Source organism: Homo sapiens, chromosome 6 (genome assembly GCF_000001405.40).
Source record: "Homo sapiens chromosome 6, GRCh38.p14 Primary Assembly".
Taxonomy (NCBI): domain Eukaryota; kingdom Metazoa; phylum Chordata; class Mammalia; order Primates; family Hominidae; genus Homo; species Homo sapiens.
In genome coordinates this window covers 157,573,694-157,594,480 of record NC_000006.12, presented here as the reverse complement: position 1 = coordinate 157,594,480, position 20,787 = coordinate 157,573,694, and the positions used below count along the sequence as shown (strand labels likewise).

The following is a 20,787-nucleotide window of genomic DNA, read 5'->3' as shown; positions in this document are numbered from 1 at the left end:
GATGACGAAACTGAGGCACACAGCGTTTCAGTACCTTGCCTGTCACGCAGCTGGTATTTGAACCCAGGCCATGCAGTGCCAGATCCCATGCTCTTAACCATCAGCTACTTCCTACATGGGAGAAGCAGAACCCATTCCATACTGTTCTGTTGGGGAGGCAAGGCTGAAAGTAATTTATCTATGTTAAGAAAACCAAGACGAGGCCTGATAGAGAAAACATGAGCTTTGTGGCAAACTGTAGATTATTAAAGTTAGGGTAAAGTTAATTTAAGACAAACGGAAGACTGCTTTGCACAGCAGGACGTACATTATAAAATGTTATTTTTCTCAAGAAGAATTGAGACTACAAATTCTAAGACTCACGAAGAGTGCTGGCAATCAATGCTGTGTTACTAAGGGAAGCTAGGTTTGTTCTGAGGTGCACTCCTATCCTTTCAGTTACGAGGTAACAGGGTTTCCATTGCTTATTCTCCCAGGAATACCCCTGGTCACTTCCGCTAGAGGCAGGCCATGAGTCTTCCCCACTGGGGCAAAGCTTTTGTCCTCTCCTTGCTTCCCTTCCTGTCACTTGGGTGTTCTGCCATCTCCTTGCCAACCTCATCTCTAGGCAGCTCCAGCCACAGAGAGAAGAGGGTCTGTGGGTGTGGGGAGCAGCTCTCAGTCTGCAGTGACAACAGGCGCTTGCCAAATAATCCCAGGGGCTGGGCCCGGGTCACTTGCAGAAGGCCCATGCTGGGCCGGTGGTAGGGCCCAGCCTTACAGCTGCAGACCTCTGAGCTCTCAGTTCCCTCTGCCTGTTTCCCTAGCCTGTCCTGGCGGAAGTTGGGAGGCAGAGAGGGGAGGCCTTCGTCGTCTCCGGGAAGAATACAGATCCTAACTCCAGCCCCTGGAGGAGAGGTCTCCCGGATCCTGCCTCTTTTCCTGTCCCCAGAAGGAGTGGGGATTAAACGCCCCCAGCCCCTCTGAGGAGCTGGGACAAACAACTGCACAAGGGTGCCTCCCGTAGGTGTGTGGCCAGACCTGTGGCAATCGAGAGGCCTGGGGGAGACATGATTTTATTTCACGTGCCTGCTGACCTGGCAGCCTGGGGAGACAGAGGACCCCATTCTCGTGCCTGTGCTGGGGGAGGCCCTCGCAGCCAAGGGCGGTGCAGGGTGTAAAGAGAATAAAAAAGATATTTGGTGACTCTAGGCCCGGTGAACTCAATCAGTGGCAACATGCAAATGCGCTGAAATATTAACCATTACTGAGTGTTCCGTGGCGCAGGGTTGGAGAGGCGCAAACCCACCCGGAGGACCCGGGCTCCCGCCAGGCTCCGCCCAGGCACTACTCACCTACGCAGTTATCACAAAGGCTGCAATGGGAGGCGCGAGGGGGCCGGAAAATCTTGCAGGTGAAACAGTATTTAAGTTTCACGGTCTGGCCATTGATGATGACTTCTTTGGTTCTGGGAGGCGGGCGGTACCCCCCTGAACTGGTGCCGTTTGCGATATCTGTGGAGAAAAGAAGAGAAAGAGCGCACACCTTCAGAGCCTCCCTCTGCCTCGGCGGGACCCGTCCGCCTGGAGTGTAAGCTCCAGGGCAGCAGGCACAGCGGCTGGCAGGGCCCCCGGTGCCCACGGTTTACCCAGGCTGGGGCTCTGGGACTCACCCTCCGCTGGGACCCCGGCCTCCTTCGTTGCACACGTGCAGGGGCCACGTGACTGAGCTCTGGCCAATGGAGCACAGCACACATGGCCCCACCCAGCCAGGCCCTCCCTGTGGAGCCCCGCCCTTTTCCTCCTTCCCCCTCCCCTCCCTGTAGGCGGCAGGAGAGGCCCCAGGCCATCTTGGGAGACACAGCTGGGGAGTCGCCTGACTGCACAGAGGAGGGCCACCCTGACCTCTTCCCGCCTGCACAGGTCTGTGAGCACCAGACTCCTGCCTTAAACCTGGAAAGGCTAGGGTGTTACTTGTTACTGCTAGCCTTGCCCTCATTAACACACCACCCTAATTCGCTCTCCTGGAATGCTGGACTCCAAATCCAGCTCCAGGGTCCCTTCACTTTGCCCATTGGCTACCTCAAAAATGCCAAGTATAGAATGGGAGGGGGAGAAACCAGATTGTAAAAAATACATTTTAAAAAATCATTAAATGTATATTTTGAAAATCATTTCTACATTTTATCATCTCAATAGCACCTTTAATTTTTAGAACCAGTTCTAAAAATGTCAATGACAATACAAACGTGGAGTTTTTAAATTTCCATTTTATCTTATCATTTCTGATTTCACATTAGGATCACATGGGAGCTTTTAAAACTCCCCCAAGGTGTGAACCCTGTTCCAGATTTATTAAATCAGAATGACCCGGGTTGTTCTCACGTGGGCAAGGTTTGAGAACCCCTGCTCTCTGGGAAGATAAAACTTCCAGTTTTATTTCACCTAGACTCCTCAGAGCCCTATTAGCCTTGCCAAGAAGAAGTTAGGGCAGCTGGCTGTGCAGTCAAGAACAGGAGGGCAGGGTGGATGGAGAAGATCAAGAACTTCCATGAGAGCTTCAGCTGAGACTCTGTGGCTGACAGATGCAAGCCAGACCTAAGGGACTGGATCAGTCCTGAGGAGCATCAGAGTTGGTAACATTAAAGATAACTGTTCATTTTAATTCTCACCCTCTTAAAGCACATACTATCAGAGATGGTTGCAAGATACTTTTGGTTGATTTCCAAAGTGGTAGGAATCAGTCCCATCACCCACTCAGTCCCCTCACACCACACCAACTCATCCTGGGCAATAATCATTGAGCAGAACTGCTGAGATCCTGGTCCTGCTGTCAGAGAGTCTTTCATTGGTGTGGGACATTGTATTAGTCTGTTCTCATGCTGCCAATAAAGACATACCTGAGACTGGATAATTGATAAAGGAAAGAGGTTTAGTTGACTCACAGTTCTGTAGGGCTGGGGAGGTCTCAGGAAATGTATAATCATGACAGAAAGGGAAGCAAACATGTCCTTCACATGGCAGCAGGGAGGAGAGGTGCCAAGCAAAGGGGGAAAAAGCCTCTTATAAAAGAATCAGATCTCGGGAGATCACTATCACAAGAACAGCATGGGGGTAACTGTCTCCATGATTCAATTACCTCCCACTGGGTCCCTCCCATGACATGTACAGATTATGGGAACCACAACTCAAGATGAGATTTGGGTAGGGACACAGCCAAACCATATCATTCTGCCCCTGGCCCCTCCCAAATCTCATGTCCTCACATTTTAAAACACAATCATGCCTTTCCAACAGTCCCCCAAAGTCTTAGCTCATTCTAGCATTAACCCAAAAGTCCAAGTCCAAAGACAAGGCAAGTTTCTTCTGTCTATAAGCCTGTAAAATCAAAAGCAAGTTAGCTATTTCCTAGATACAATGGGGGTACAGGCACTGGGTAAAATAAACCTGTTCCAAATGGGAGACATTGGCCAAAACAAATGGGCTACAGGCCCCATGCAAGTCCGAAATCTAATAGGTCAGTCATTAAAGCTTAAAGTTCCAAAATAATCTCCTTTGACTCCATGTCTCACATGCAGGTCATGCTGATGCAAGAGGTAAGGCTCCCACAGCCTTGGGCAGCTCCGCCCTATGACTTTGCAGGGTACAACCCCCCTCCCAACTGCTTTCACGGCTGGAGTTGAATGTCTTCAGCGTTTCTGGGCACACAGTGCAAGATGTCAGTGGATCTACCATTCTGGGGTCTGGAGGATGGTGGCCCTCTTCTCACAGCTCCACTAGGCAGTGCCCCAGTGGGGACTCTATGTGGGGGCTCTATGTGGGGGCTCTGACCCCACATTTCCCTTCTGCACTGCCCTAACAGAGGTACTCCATGAGGGTTCCACCCCTGCAGAAAACTTCTGCCTAGACATCCAGGCATTTCCATACATCCTCTGAAATCTAGGTGGAGATTCCCAAACCTCAATTATTGTCTTCTGTGCACCTACAGGACCAACACCACATGGAAGCTACCAAGGCTTGGGGCTTGCACCCTCTGAAGCCATGGCCTGAGCTGAACCTTGGCCCCTTTTAACCATGGCTGGAGTGGCTGGGTTAGAGTCCATAGGCTGCACACAGCAGGGGGCCCTGGACCTGACCCAGGAAACCATTTTTTCCTCCTAGACCTCTGGGCCTGTGATGGGAGGGGCTGCCATGAAGGTCTCTGACATGCTCTGGAGACATTTTCCCCATTGTCTTGGTGATTAACATTCAGCTCCTTGTTTCTTATGTAAATTTCTGCTGTCAGCTTGAATTTCTCCCCAGAAAATGGGTTTTTCTTTTCTGCTGCATGATCTGGCTACAAATTTTCCAAACGTTTATGCTCTGTCACCTCTCAAATGCTTTGCTGCTTAGAAATTTCTTCCACCAGTACCGTAAATCATCTCTCTCAAGTTCCACAAATCTCTAGGGCAGGGCAAAATGCCACCAGTCTCTTTGCTATATCATAACAAGAGTCACCTTTATTCCTGTTTCCAAGAAGTTTCTCATCTCCGTCTGAGACCACCTCAGCCTGGACTTCATTGTACACATCACTATCAGCATTTTGGTCAAAGCCATTCAACAAGTCTCTAGGAAGTTCCAAACTTTCCCACATCTTCCTATCTTCTTCTGAGCCTTCCAAACTGTTCCAACCTCTCCCTGTTACCCACTTCCAAAGTCGCTTCCACATTTTCAGGTATCTTTATAGCAGTGCCCCACTACCCAATACCAATATACTGTATTAGTCCATTTTCATGCTACTATAAGGACATATCTGAGACTGGGTAATTTATAAAGGAAAGAGGTTTAATTGACTCACAGTTCTGAAGGGCTGGGGAGGCCTCAGGAAACTCACAATCATGGCAGAAGGGGAAGCAAACACATCCTTCTTCACATGGCAGCAGGAAGGAGAAGTGCCAAGCAAATATCTCATGAGAACTCACTCACTATCATGAGAATAGCATGGAGGTAACCACCCCCATGATTCAATTACCTCCCACTGGGTCCCTCCCATGACACATGGGGATTATGGGAACCACAATTCAAGATGAGATTTGGATGGGGACACAGCCAAACCATATCAAGCATTGAGATGTCTAAAAACTCCTCCGAGATGTTGATATAGTTTGGTTTTGTATCCCTGCCCAGATCTTATGTTGAATTGTAATCCCCAATGTCAGAGGAGGGGCCTGGTGGGAGGTTACTGGATCATGGGGGTGGATTTCTCCCTTGCTGTTCTTCTGATAGTGAGTTATCATGAGATCTCATTGTTTAAAAGGTGTAGCACCTCCCCTTGCACCCTCTTCCTCCTGCTCTGGCCATTTAAGACCTTCCTCTTTTCCTTCCTTTCTCTTTTCCTTCCTCCATGATTGTAAGTTTCCTGAGGCCTCCTCAGCCATGCTTCCTATACAGCCTGTGGAACCATGAGCCAATAAAACCTCTTTTCTTTATAAATTACCCAGCCTCAGGTAGTTCTTTATAGCAATGTGAAAATAGACTAATACAGATGGGAATCTGCAGCCAAAGATGAGAAGGCCTGCTCCAAGAGTGGTCCACCAGCATCCATATCATCTGACAGCCTAGCACATAAGCAGATTCTTGGCTTGTCCCAACTATGGAATGGGAATCTGCATTTCACCGAGATTCCCCAGTGATTGAAACTTTCAGGTTTGAGAACCCCACTGTGGGGTGCCAGTAAATACTCCCCAGTCCACACATTCCTATGTGCCTCTTTATTATGTACTCAAATACACTCACTTGTATGATAAAGAGCTACCCTTAGAGAACGCAGCTTAGTCAGGTGAGGGGCCACATCACAGAACACACCCACACCCAAGCGTTTTCACGCAGAGCACTTGGTGATTTAGAACAGCTCAGGGTATCTGGAGAGCTGTGCCATTCTGCCCCCAAGCAGGGCTGCTGTCACTCACTGACAGTACCCATGATTCGCATGTCATGATTCAGGGGCTCGAAAAGGAATGCCCCTCCCTGCAGTCTTCTTTAAAAAATGTATATTTTTTAATTTTTAGAAATAGTCTCACTCTGTCACCCTGGCTGGAGTGCAGTGGTGCTATCATAGCTCACTGTAGCCTTGACCTCCCAGGCTCAGGTGATCCTCCCACCTCAGCCTCCCAAGCTGCTGGGACTATAGGTATTCACCACCATGCCTGGCTAATTTTTAAATTTTTTAAATTATTTATTTATTTATATATTTATTTATTTGAGAGATGGAGTCTTGCTGTGTCACCCAGGCTGGAGTGCAGTGGCGTGATCTTGGCTCACTGCAACCTCTGCCTCCCCAGATTCAAGCCATTCTCCTGCCTCAGCTTCCCAAGTAGCTGGGACTACAGGTGTGCACCACCACGCCCAGCTAATTTTTGTGTTTTTTTTAGTAGAGACAGGGTTTCACTATATGTTGGCCAGGCTGGTCTCAAACTCCTGACCTCAGGTGGCCCGCCTGCCTTGGCCTCCTAAAGTGCTGGGATCACAGGCATGAGTCACAGTACCCAGCCTAATTTTAAATTTTTTATAGAGACAAGGTCTCACTATGTTGCTCAGGCTGGTCTCAAGCAACTGGCCTCAAGCTAGTGATCCTCCTACCTTGGTCTCCCAAAGTGGTTACAGGCATGAGCCACTGTGCCCAGCCTTGGTCTTCTTTAAATGGCTGTCAGAGGTCTGGAAAGCTGCTATAGCCCTTTAGCCTAAGGCTTTGGTGTTTGTGAAAGTACAATCCCAGAGTTAAGGAGAGTGCTTTGAACTGCTACTGGCCATGAATTATTCATGGAAAATTAAAGTTCCAGGTTCGAGGGAGAGCAGGCAGTGTGGAGGGCAGGGCGGGGCAATGGCAGGAGGAAGAAGCAGGTCTCCTACTTCTCTCTTCCTGAGGCCCAAACCTTCTGCTTAGAATAACTGAACAGCTGTGGAGCCAGTCCAAGGACTCTGGGTGGCCTTGCCCTGCCAAGCAGGATACCCTCTTTTGGCAGGTGCCACATCTGCCTGGCACCCCAGGTGGCTGCCCCATCAAATGGCACTAATGTCACAGGCATCTGGAGAGGTGCTGAGCTCCAAAAGCAGGGGCCTTAAGAAGAGGGAGGCCTTGCAACTGATTCTGCAATAAGGAGAGAACAAAGAGATGGCACGGCTGTGTGCTTCCCCTGAGCACTGGATAGAAATCACTGGCTTTGAATCCATCAAAGATAAGGTCAGGTCTCTATGGGTGCCAGCTGGGTGCCACTGAGGCCTAGATTAATAATAATCCTAATGTCAGCTGTGAAATCTATTGCCTCTATTTACTCCTGCAAACATGGGTAGAAAAACTAGACCTGATATCTTTTTATAAAATACGAACTCAGTCAAACATTTGTGTTAATTTCAGTAGAAAAGTTTAGAAACTGAATTGTGAAGGTGAATATTTTAAAATGCAGGAATGACAAACGTATCAACACTACAACTATTTAAATAGCCTAGTTCTGAGTAGCAATGACTTGATAAAGTGAGTATTTGCTGACACTCCTGAAGATAAACTCTATTGATCTTTAGTTCCAAAGTGCATTTTTTAAAAGATTGAACCTCTGTTACAAAGAGGTGAAATGCTGAAAGCTAGAATTCAAAAGACATAGTAAACTGAAGCTTAAGAATTAAACCGAAACCCAAAACTCTTTGACTAAATATTTGGAGAGCTCTTTATGTAAAAGAAATGGAAGGATCAGAAGACCTGGATTCAGGGCCCAGCGATGCCATGAAAAAAGTCAACCAATATTTATGAAGGATTTACTATAAGCCGGTGCTGCACCAGGGGTTGCCGAGGGCCGCTGGGGTCCTGGGAGGGCTCTGCTGGGCTGTCTGATGAGCACAGCAAGTCTTGAGCCCGTCTTGCCACCCATTCTGATCTGATCTGTTCTCCTGGCCCTTAAAGAGTCAGCTTTCTAAATGCAAGTCCCATCAAGAAACTCAGGCCCTCCCATACAGCACACAATCCATGAACCTTCTCTCTCCTTGCACGATCTTCCATGGAGCCTATGCTCAAAACACGGTGGCCTCCTTGGGTTTCCCTGAGCGGGCAATGCTGTTTTCTACTTCCAGGCATTTGCACGTGATATTTTCTCTGCTCGGGATTCCCTCTCCTGCTGTCTGCGCAGATAATCCTATCCTTTGAGGGCCAGTTCCAGCTTCTCTTGTGAAAACACTTTGCAAGCAGAGTTACTTGTTTCCTCCTTTGGGCTCTCACTGCGCCTGCCTTGTTTTATTTATCCAGCCACTAGATCTGTATTGTGCTTCTACTGGGGGCCAGCCCTGGGCTCTGAGCTGGGGACACAGCAGGAACTCAGACTTCTTCTCTGCTGGTGGTGTTTACAGGCCAGAGGGAAGACCCAGTACCGATGATGTCAGGAGGATTTGTTTCCAGATCTTCCTGCTGCTCCAGGGCAGTGACCACGGCCTATCCACTTTCAAGTCCCCATCATCCAGCAGAGAGTCTAGCACATAGGAGATGCCCAAGATGGAGGACTGCCATGCTCCCGCACCTCCACCCTGCCTGGGAATCACAGCCACAGGCCCTCAAGTGCTGCAACGCTGTCCACCAGGCAGGCCACTCTTGTGCCTATAGCCCCTCACTTGCAGAGGACACCTTTCCAAGGTGCTCTGTGGATCTGACTCTTTCAAAACTTATCCACAAGCTGCTGCTGATCCAGAGCCAACCTCGCATGGCCAGGTAGCACCCCCAAAAAGGGCCGGCTGAGAAGGCCAGCTGTGTACCTCAGGGAGCCCCGCTGTTCTTTCTTCCACACAATGCATCCAACAGCTGCCTAGGCCCATGGCTTTCAGACACACTTGCATCCAGGGCAGATGGGAACAAGGGGGCTTGAAACCCAGGGCTTCACATACCAACCTTGGCACAAAGAAACTTTTTCTTCAGTGTTCTAGCCTGAGGCCAGTGGCCAATCATGAAGTCTTTCTCTCATCTGGAGATCACAAACACCTGTGGCCTGTGTCATGTGGCACAAAGAGAGAAGCAGAGGGAGGGTTCCTGCTCTACTCAATTTTTCTGGTTTTGGGTTTTTTTTTTTTTTTTTGTATTTTTGGTTTCCTTTGGTTGTTGGTAACAGTTGTGCCTCTGCCTCTTTGGGCTGCTCTTTGTGGCTTAAATACAGCAATTGAAAAAGGAATAATAGGCATTTGCAATAGCTAGTGGGTCAAACACTAGAATTTTGGGGGGAAAACCTCTAGCAGTTAGGCAAGTGTATATGAGTCAGTATATTTATTTATTTATTTATTTTTTGAGATGGAGTTTTGCTCTTGTCACCTAGGCTGGAGTGCAATGGCGCGATCTCGGCTCACTGCAACCTCTGCCTCCTGGGTTCAAGCAATTCTCCTGCCTCAGCCTCCCGAGAAGCTGGGACTACAAGCTCCTGCCACAACACCCAGCTAATTTTTTTGTATTTTTAGTAGAGACGGGGTTTTGCCATGTTGGCCAGGCTGGTCTCGAACTCCTGACCTTAGGTGATCCACCCGCCTCGGCCTCCCATAGTGCTGGGATTACAGCCATGAGCCACCGTGCCCATCCCAAGTCAGTATTTTTCAAGGAGATTTTTATACACAAGCATTTTGAAAGAGTATGTAAAATGGTCTCTTCCTTCATATAGTCCCCCAACCAATTGGTGGACGTTGCTGGCATGGAGACAGAAATAATAACAGCACTTACATCTAGTGTTACCCTTGCAACCAGCCTGTGGGCAAAAATTAGGGGAGCTGGGGATGAAGAAATTGGGGCTGTGCGGCATGTGGGCTCAAGGATGGGAAGCTGCCCGTTGACAATTGTTTCACACAGAATTCCTGGACTTGCTGGAGGCCTTCTATCAGCTGTTTAACTTCTGCCTGTGACTTCAAGTAAGTCATCTTTTCTTCCTGAGGGAATAGCAGAGCACTTCCATCCTGATAGATCCATTTGTCTCCCATCAGATTTATTCCTGCCCCAAATTCAGGGATCAAATATCTATGTGTTACCATATAAAGTAACTGGACTCTGCTTTCTTACAATGCAAAAGGAAAAATCCCAAATTATAAAAGATGTAGAGTAAGATTCTTTCCTACCATTGCAGCTGTAGTGGTAGTGCCCTAACTGCCCTTGGGCTGGGGAAGGAACAAAGGGCCTAGTCACTATGCTGGCACCTCCAGCACACCACAGCCACCAGAGAGGAGTCCCGTCTCTTCCCTGTGAGCCCCCATGCCCCACTCTTCAACAAGTAGAGTCCCTGGCTCAGGCCAGCAGTGCAGCCTCCCTGCCCCAGTGTTCACTCCCATCCAGACCAGTAGCTCAGCAGTTCTCTGAGGTGCAGCTCCTAGAGGCAACCGAGATCTCCTCGGCCACTGCCATTGCAAGGGTGCTGCCTTGCTGCCCTTGGACTGGGAAAGGAACAAAGACCCTGAGTGCTTCAACCATACTGCCAGCAAGCTGCAGTTGCCCTAAGGAGAAGAGGCCAGGCTGTCTCCCCTGGGACCCACCCACCCACCCTGCTCATCACTGGAAAGGGTCCCCTCCACTTAGGTCCACAGCACAGCTGCCCCATCCCAGGCCAATCGCAATGATTGATCATGGCTCTGCATCTCTTGGTGGGTGGAGCCCCACAACAGAAGTGAAAGGCCCTCTGCTACAACCACTGCTAAGGGCCCTTCCTCTGCTGCCTCCAAGCTGAGGACAGAATATAAAGCCTGAGCTTACCCCAGAGCTGCAGTGGGCATCCTGGGAGTGCCAAGCCGAGATCTGCAGCCAGCACCTAAGTGGGAGAGGAGCCTACACCTCAGAACACTGAGAGGGCACACAGCTGAAAATGTGTGGAAACGCCAAGGAGCTGCATGGCTGAGGAAGAGCCTACCTGCTGGCCCTTACGTTTAAGTGCCATCTACTGTATCAAAGCCCAAAACTTCAACACCAAAAACAAACAAAACAAAAAAAGCAGAACAATAACAACAAAACAAACGAACCAACAAAAAAAAAAACACCTTTGGTAATATACTCCCCATGCGAAACCAAGGACAATAATTAACTATAAATAAAGACCTTGCAAAAAGCCTTGGTCCTCTGAAAACATCCAGAAAAGTCTACTGACTGTACTCAACTTACATCACAGTTAAAGGACCACCAGCCCACACAGATGAGAAAGAGCCAGCCCAAGAACTCTGGCAACTCAAATAGCCAGAGTGTCTTCTTTCCAAACAATTGCATTAGTTCCCCAGCAAGGGTTCTTAACCAGGCTGAAATGGCTGAAAGACAGAAATAGAATTCAGAGTATGGATAGCAAAAAAGATGATTGAGATTTAGGAGAAAGTTGAAACCCAATCCAAGGGATCTAAGAATTGCAATAAAATGATACAGAAGCTGACAGATGAAACAGTCATTATAAAAAAGGACCAAACTGATCTGAAAAAGATAAAAAACGTACTATAAGAATTTCATAATGAAATCACAAGTATTAACAGCAGAACATACCAAGCAGAAGAAGGAATCTCACAGCTTAAAGACTGGCTCTGAAATAACTCAGTTAGACGAAAATAAAGTAAAAAGAATGAATAAAACCTCTGAGAAATATGGGCTTATGTAAAGAGACCAAATCAGCGACTCATTGGTGTTCCTGAAAGAGACAGGGAAAAAGTAAGCAACTTGGAAAACTATTTCAGGATATTACACATGAAAACTTCCTCAACCTTGCTAGAGAGGCTGACATTCAAGTTCGGGAAATGAAGAGAACTCCTGCAAAATAATACACAAGAAGAATATCCCCAAGACACATAATCATCAGATTCTCCAAGATGAAAATGAGAGAAACAATGTTAAAGAAATGTAGAGAGAAGAGGCAGTTCACTTACAAAGGGAGCCCTATCAGGCTAACAGCAGATCTTTCAGCAGAAGCCCTAAAAGCCAGAAGAGATCAGGCTATATTCAGCATTCTTAAAGAAAAGAATTTCCAACCAAGAATTTCATATCCGGCCAAACTAAGCTTCATAAATGAGGGATAAGTAAGATCTTTTTCAAAGCAAATGTTGAGGAATTCCTTGCCACCAGACCTACCTTAAAAGAGGTCCTGAAAAGAGCACTAAATATGGAAAGGAAGGACCATTACCAGCCACTACAAAAACACACTCAAGTACACAGACTGGTGACTCTATAAAGCAACCACACAAACAAGCCTGCATAATAACCAGCTAACAATGTGATGACAAGATCAAATCCGCACATATCAATACTAACTTTGAATGTAAATAGGAAATGACCCAATTAAAAGGCACAGGGTGGGCTGGGCATGGTGGCTCACACCTGTAATCCCAGCACTTTGGGAGGCCCAGGTGGGCAGATCACTTGAGGCCAGGAGTTTGAGACCAGCCTGGCCAACATGGAGAAAGCCCAAATCTACTAAAAATACAAAAAATTAGCCAGGCATGGTGGCGTGTGCCTGTAGTTCCAGCTACTCAGGAGGTTGAGGTGGGTGAATCACTTGAACCTGGGAGCCAGAGGTTGCACTGAACTGAGACTGTGCCACTGCACTCCAGCCTGGGTGACAGTGCAAGACCCTGTTTAAAAAGAAAAAAAAAATGTCACAGAATGGCAACCTGGATAAAGAAGCAAGACCCAATGACCCAATGGTATGCTGTCTTCAAGGGACCCATCTCGCATGCAGTGACACCCATAGGCTCAAAATGAAGTGATGGAGAAAAATCTACCAAGCAAATGGAAAACAGAATAAAAGCAGGGGTTGCTATTCCTAATTTCAGACAAAACAGACTTTAAACCAACAGAGATCAAAAAAGACAAAGAAGGGCATTACATAATGGCAAAGCATTCAATTCAATAAGAAGACCTAACTATCCTAAATATATATGCATTAACACAGGAGCACCTAGATTAATAAAGCAAGCTGTTAGAGACCCACAAAGAGACTTAGACTCCCACACAATAATAGTGAGAGATCTCAACACCCCACTGACAGTATTAGATCATTGAGGCAGAAAATTAACAAAGATATTCAGGACCTGAATTCAATACTGGACCAAATGGACCTAGCACAAACATCTACAGAACTCTCTACCCCAAAACAAGAGAATATACATTCTTCTGATTGCCACATAGCACGTACTCTTAAATTGACCACACAATCAGACATAAAACAATCCTCAGCAAATTAAAAAAAAAAAACATACCAACTACACTTTCAAGCCATAGCACAAGAAAAATAAAAAATCCATACTAAAAAAATTGCTCAAAACGATACGATTACATTGAAAATTAAACACCTGTTCCTGAATGACTTTGGGGTAAATAATGAAATCAAGGCAGAAATCAAGAAGTTCTTTGCAACTAATGAGAACAAAGATCCAACATACCAGAATCTCTGGGACACAGCTAAGGTAGTGTTCAGATGGAAGTTTATAGCACTAAATGGCCACATGAAAAAGTAAGAAGGATCTCAAATTAACAACCTAACATCATAACTAGAGGAATTAGAGAAGCAAGGGAAAACCAATCCTAAAGCTACTAGATGACAGAAATAACCAGAATCAGTGCTGAACTGAAGGGAATTAAGAAACAAACAAAAAACATATAAAACATCAACAAATCCAGGAGTTGGTTCTTTGAAAAAATTAATAAGATAGACTGCTAGCTAGACTAATAAAAAAAGGAGGGAAATCCAAATTAACACAATTAGAAATGGCAAAGGGGGCATTACCACTTACCCCCAGAGAAATACAAAGAAAAAAACACACACACACACACACACACAAAACACAAAAAACCCAGACAGTACTATGAACACCTCTATGCAGACAAACTAGAAAATCTAGAAGAAATGGATAAATTCCTGGACACATACAATCTCCAAAGACTGAACCAGGAAGAAACTGAATCCCTGAACAGATTAGTAATGAGTTCCAAAATTTAAGCAGTAATAAAAAGCTTACTAACCAAGAAAAGCCCAGGACCAGATGGATTCACAGCCGAATTCTACCAGATATATAAAGAGCTGGTACCATTCCTACTGAAACTGTTCCAAAAAAATGAGCAGGGACTCTTCCCCAACTAATTCTGAGGCCAGCATCATCCTGATACAAAACCAGGCAGAGATGCAACAAAAAAAGAAAACCCCAGGCCAATATCCCAAATGAATATAGAAGCAAAAATCCTCAAGAAAATACTAATAAACTGAATCTAGCAGCACATCAAAAAGTTAATCCACCAAGATCAAGTAGACTTTATCCTTGGGATGCAAGGCTGGTTCAACATACATAGATCAGTAAATGTGATTAATCACATAAACAGAACTAAAAAATTTCCCAAAACCACATAATTATCTCAATAGGTGCAGAAATAAAAGAGATGTGAATAAAATTCAACATCTCTTCCTGTTAAAAACCCTCAATAAACTAGGCATTGAAGGAATATACTTCAAAATAACAAGAGCCATCTATGACAAACCCACAGCTGACATCATACTGAATGGGCAAAAGCTAGAAGCATTCGCCTTGAAAGCTGGCACAAGACAAGGATGCCCTCTCTTACCACTCCTATTCAACATAGTACTGGAAGTCCTGTCCAGAGCAGTCAGGAGGAAGAAATAAAAGGCATTCAGATAAGAATAGAGGAGGAAGTCAAACTCTCCCTGTTTGCGGATGACATAATTCTATATCTGGAAAACCCCAGAGTCTCTGCCCAAAAGCTCCTTGATCTGATAAACAACTTCAGCAAAGTTTCAGGATATAAAATTAATGTATGGAAATCAGTAGCATTCCTATACACCAACAACATCCAAACCAAGAGCCAAATCAGGAACACAATCCCATTCACAGTTGCCACAAAAATAATTAAAAACCTAGGCATACAGCTAAACCAGGGAGGTGAAAGATTTCTACGATAAGAGTTACAAAACACTGCCAGAAATCAGTGATGACACATACAAATGGAAAAACATTCCATGTTTATGGGTAGAAAGAATAAATATTGGCTGGGCATGGTGGCTCATGCCTGTAATCCCAGCACTTTGGGAGGCTGAGGTGGGCGGATCACGAGGTCAGCAGATTGAGACCATCCTGGCTAACATGGTGAAACCCCTTGTCTACTAAAAATACAAAAAATTAGCTGGGCGTGGTGGCAGGCACCTGTAGTCCCAGCTGCTTCGGAGGCTGAGGCAGGAGAATGGCATGAACCCGGGAGGCAGAGCTTGCAGTGAGCCGAGATCGCGCCACTGCACTCCAGCCTGGGCGACAGAGTGAGACTCCATCCAAAAAAAAAAAAAAAAAAAAAAAAAACACAGAATCAATATCATTAAAATGGCCATAGTGCCAAAAGCAATTTACAGATTCAACACTATTTCTATCAAAGTACCAATGACATTCTTCACAAAATTCAAAAACTATTTTAAAATTCATATAGAACTAAAAAAGAGCCAGAATAGCCAAGGCAATCCTAAGCAAAAAGAACAAAGCTGGAAGCATCACATTACCTGACTTCAAACTATACTACAAGGCTATTGTATCCAAAACAACATGGTACTGGTATAAAAACAGACCCATTGTATTAGTCCATTCTCACACTGCTAGGAAGAAATAACCAAGACTAGGTAATTTATAAAGGAAAGAGGTTTAATTGACTCACAGTTCCACATGACTGGAAAAGCCTCAGGAAATTTACAATCATGGTGGAAGGCAAAGAGAAGCAGGCACCTTCTTCACAGGGCAGCAGGACACAGTGAGTGCAAGCAGGGGAAATGCCAGCCACTTATAAAACCATCAGATCTCGTGAGACTCACCCACTATCACGAGAACAGCATAGGGGAAACCACCCCCATGATTCAATCACCTCCACCTGGTCCTGCCCTTGACACATGGGGATTATGGGGATTACAATTCAAGATGAGATTTGGGTGGGGCCACAAAACCTAACCATATCACACATAGACCAATGGAACAGAATAGAGATCCCAGAAATAATGGTACACACCTACAACCATCTGATCATTGACAAACCTGACAAAAACAATGGGGGAAAGGATTCCCTATTCAATAAATGGTGCTGGACTAACTGGCTAGTCATAGACAGAAGATTGAAACTGGGCCCCTTCCTTACACCACATATGAAATCAACTTAAGATGGATTAAAGACTTAAATGTAAAACCTAAAACTATAAAAACTCTGGGAGATAACTTAGGAAATGTCATTCTGGACATAGGACCTGGCAAAGATTTATGATGAAGACACCAATAGCAATTGCAACAAAAACAGAAATTGACAAATGAGACCTAATTAAACTAAGAGTTGTTTTACTGAAAAGAAACTATCAACAGACTAAACAGACAACCTACAGAATTGGAGAAAATATGTGCAAACTAGGCATCTGACAAAGTTGTAATATCCATAATCTGTAAGGAGCTTAAATGAATTTACAAGAAAAAAAAACAACCCCATTAAAAAGTGGGCAAAGGACATGAACAGACACTTTTCAAAAGAAGATATACATGTGGTTAACAAGCATATGAAAAAAATGCTCAACAGCATTAATCATTAGAGAAATGCAAATGAAAACCACAATGAGATACCATCTCACACAGCAGAATGGCTATTATTAAAAAGTAAAAAAATAACAGATGCAGGCTGGCTGCTGTGGCTCACGCCTGTAATCCCAGCACTTTGGGAGGCCAAGGCAGGCAGATCAGCTGAGGTTCAGGAGTTTGAGACCATCCTGGCCAACGTGGTAAAACCCCATCTCTACTAAAAATACAAAAATTAGCCAGGTGTGGTGCCAGGTGCCTGTAATCCCAGCTACTTGGGAGGCTGAAGCATGAGAATCACTTGAACCTGGGAGGTGGAGGTTGCAGTGAGCCTAGATCATGCCATTGAGCTCCAGCCTAGGCAACAAGAGTGAAACTCTGTCTCAAAAACAAAACAAAACAAACAAACAAAAAAACAGAGGCTGGAGAGGTTGCCAAGAAAAGGGAATGAAGGGACTGCTTATACACTGTTGGTGGGAGTGTAAATTAGTTCAGCCACTGTGGAAAGCAGCATGGTGATTCCTCAAAGAACTTAAAATAGAATTACCATTCAGCCCAGCAATCCCATTTTTGGGTATATACCCAAAGAAATATAAATCATTCTACCATAAGGACACATGCACATGTATGTTCACTGTAGCACTATTCACAATAGCAAAGGCATGGAATTAATCTCAATGTTCATCAGTGGTAGAGTGGATGAAGAAAATGTGGTACATATACACCATGGAATACTATGCAGCCTTAAAAAAGAATGAAATCATGTTCACTGTAGCAACATGGATAGAGCTGGAGGTCATTACCCTAAGCAATCTAATGTGGGAACAGAAGGCCAAGTACTACATGTTTTCACTTACAAGTGGGAGCTAAATGATGAGAACACACAGACACAAAGAGGGGAACACCACACACTGGGGCCTACTTGAGGGTGGAGGGTGGGATGGGGGAGAAGATCATAAAAAATACCTGTGGGGTAGTACCTGGGTGATGAAATAATCTGTACACTAAACCTCCATGACACGCGGTTTACCTGTATAAGAAACCTGCACATGTACCCCTGAACCCAAAATAAAAGTTAAAAAAAAATTCTTTCCTTACCGAAGGATTCGGAACAGTGGCATAGCCTGGTGGATTTCAGTTTCATAGACCATTAACCAGCTGACAGAATGCCTGCCAGAGTGGTAGGAAGCTCTGCTAAGAGGAGTCAGTCAGAATGAAGATGAAGCATCTCTCTGCATTAGGATGTAAGTCACAGGGCAAATGTGCTTTGCTTTAGACTCAAGTCTCTGTGACTATATCTATTGAATTTGCTGGAGTACAGCTGTTGGATGCTACCAACACACAGCTGGTGGATCTAACACATCTTAAATTTTCATAATGCTCATTTTAGTCGTGCTCTGTAACATTCAGGACATAAACTACCCAACCTTGGAATGGCTGACCTATCATGAAAGAAGATGGTTACTTTAAGAGTCATTGAATATAATCTCTGGGCTTACAGTCTGTAAACTTCCAAGCCCACAGGAAAATATTAACAATGATTAAATGTTAGACAAGTCAACTCCTTTTATTTTAACTGTTTGGGAAAAAAGTAGAGCAAATTCTGGTCTGTCTATATACATTGTTTCGGTTTCCACTGGAGAATTAAAATGTGAAATTTTCTTAATAATATATTGCAGCAGCTTTTTCTTTATGAATTCTTATATACAGATATGCACAGGAAGACTCAAGAAAAGGCAAGGCCCCCAGTCCTCCTCTTCCAGTTAAAATCCTTAGTATGTCCGTTTGTCTTAAACATTTTTCTTCAAGGATGGAAATGGATGCCTGAGGAAGGGCTCATTTGGGCAGTTTCAAACCCAAGCCACATGCAGGCAGCACCTGGAGCATCTCCTCTGCTTAGTCCCCTACCCATCACAGGAGGAGCAAAGAAGGCCTGCCGAGTCAGAAGCAAGAGAGCGAGGAACATGGAAGGGTTGGGGAGGCCAGGGCCAGGGCGGGCCGCAGGCAGCCGAGTAGTGAGTCCTGCAAGGAATGAAAGAAACATGGTGTTCCAGCCCAGTTTGCCTTTTCCTAATCATTCACTCAACACCTATGAGCATTGAGGGTTCTCTGGTGGGCAAAAGGGAGCTGGTGCTTGCCTTCAAGGAATTTACGGTCTGTTGGAGGGCATATATTAATTAAATAATCACACAACAAAATGCATTGCTGCACACTGTGTATGTTTTAGTTAGAGAGCAGGAGAATCCACCTGGGGCAGGAACTCTTCCCAGAAGCAGCAGCATTTGAGCCAGGATCTGGAGGCTGATAGAGTAGGCTTTCCCTAGACAATGTGTGTGGGGGTGTGCACACTCGCTGGGAGCAGGGAACCAGGCACTTCGGGCACAGGGGGCAGCTTGTGTCCTGGTCCCAGGACAGGAGGGAGATGTTATATTGAGGATATGGAGGGAGGGCTGTGTGACCAGAGCACAGTGTAAGCGGGAGATCTGAGAGAGGAGGAAGGCAGGGGCTAGGCCACACAGAACCCTGTAGCCACATCTGGGATGTTGGCCTTCATTCTGAGTGCAAAAGGAAGCTGTGACTGTTAATTTTATGTGTCAACTTGGCTCAGCCATGTGCCAGTTGTTCGGTCAACCACCAGTCTAAATGTTGCCATGAAGATATTTTTTAGATGAGATTAACATTTAAATCAGCAGACTTTGATGTAAAGCAGATTACTCTCCCTAATGAGGGTGGGCCTCCTCCAATCAGGTGCTGATCTTCAGAGCAAATACTGAGCTCCCCCAAGGTAGAAGAAATTCTCAAGACTTCACGGTAGAAACCCCGCCTGCTTCCAGCCTGCTGCCCTGCAGGATTCAGGCTCAAGATGGCAACACCAACTCACCTGACTTTCCAGCCTGCTGGCCTGCCCTGCAGATTCCAGACTTGCCAACCCCATAATCGGAACAAGCCAATTCCTAAAATAAACCCGCCTCTTCCCTGCCCCCCATACATATATTCTGTTTCTCCAGGTATTTCTCTAGAGAGCACTGAATAATACAGAGGCCAAGAAGGGTTCTGTATTGTGTGGTAAAGTGATCAGGTAGGCAATTAAGTCATATCACATCGACTGCAGTATCAAAGACAAATCGGCTAGGGAAGAAAGAATGGATCTATGCCCAGTTAGGAGGGATCTGGAATACAAGCTTGAGACGATGTTAGCTTGAAATAGGGTGGTGGCCATGGTGATGGAGAGAAGTAGATACATTCCAGAAACTTTAAAATGGGGAAACCAATGATGAATGGACGTAATGAATGAGAGCCAGGCAGGTGACCAGGGTGAGTCTTGGATTCTGGCTCAGGCAGGGAACCCGGGGCAGTCCAGGGGAGTTTCTGTGGTGCTGGGTGAGGGGAGTGGGAGGAGGTCATGGGTGTGGTATTGACCATGAGCAACTACCATCTGGGAGGGGCACATGCAGAATTGGACCTCAGAGGAAGGGCCTAGGCTGGAGGTAAGTATTCAGCAATGACACGGGTGCTCCAATGTTTATTTGAGACGGAGTCTCACTCTGTCACCCAGCCTGGGGTGCAGTGGCGCGATCTCGGCTGACTGAAACCTCCACCTCCCGGGTTCAAGTGATTCTCCTGGCTCAGCCTCTGGAGTAGCTGGGATTACAGGCATTCACCACCATGCTCAGCTAATTTTTGTATTTTTAGTAGAGATAGGATTTTGCCATCTTGGCCAGGCTGGTCTCAAACTCCTGACCTCAAGTGATCCACCTGCCTCAGCTTCCCAAAGTGCTGGGATTACAGACATGAGCCACCACACCTGGCATCTCGTATGTTTAAAGGCAAGGAACAACAGAGAGGTGTAGAGTGTGGTGTTGTTGAGTCATTTAGTCCATGCCAAACACATTTGGGAAAACCCAAATTCTGGTGTTCCCTCTAGGAAGCTGATGTGAGCATTAGCACAGCCGAGGCCCTAGGAACCTAAGAGCAAAGAACTTCCCCCCCGACCCCGAGGTTTCTCACAGAGTAGCGTTCCCCAGCATGCTTGAGCACAGACCCCATAGCATCCGTGCATCTCCCCACCAAGGCCCATGGGCACGGGGAATGCTGATGTGGGAGGGTGGACCCTGGCAGGGACATCCTGGGGCTTCCTTGGGAGTAGAGCACCATGGCTGAGCTGCGCTTCCTCTGGGCTGGATGGAGAGTACTGGAAACAAAGCTCAGCCAGGATGCGCAGCTGGCAGGAAGGATTAACCCATCATGCCCAGAATGC

At 45.9% G+C, this 20,787-nt stretch overlaps 1 protein-coding gene across 7 annotated transcripts in view, besides 2 other annotated features; it reads right to left on the bottom strand.

Annotated features, from left to right (window-relative positions):
- The window catches only part of ZDHHC14 (zDHHC palmitoyltransferase 14), a 296,968-nt gene that overhangs the window by 83,677 nt on the left and 192,504 nt on the right, over positions 1-20,787 (bottom strand). For all 7 annotated transcript variants that reach the window (NM_024630.3, XM_047419366.1, NM_153746.2 and 4 more), the window contains exon 3: positions 1,335-1,493. In NM_024630.3, coding sequence (NP_078906.2) covers positions 1,335-1,493 — 159 coding nt within the window. The remainder of the gene's footprint in view (positions 1-1,334; positions 1,494-20,787) is intronic.
- Positions 285-784: an enhancer, noted in NCBI's record as "H3K4me1 hESC enhancer chr6:158014729-158015228 (GRCh37/hg19 assembly coordinates)". NCBI's record gives its function as "activates a minimal SCP1, AML or CMV promoter by ChIP-STARR-seq in primed H9 embryonic stem cells {active_cell/tissue: H9 hESC(primed)}" and the evidence as "EXISTENCE:reporter gene assay evidence [ECO:0000049][PMID:30033119]".
- Positions 785-1,286: an enhancer, noted in NCBI's record as "H3K4me1 hESC enhancer chr6:158014227-158014728 (GRCh37/hg19 assembly coordinates)". NCBI's record gives its function as "activates a minimal SCP1, AML or CMV promoter by ChIP-STARR-seq in primed H9 embryonic stem cells {active_cell/tissue: H9 hESC(primed)}" and the evidence as "EXISTENCE:reporter gene assay evidence [ECO:0000049][PMID:30033119]".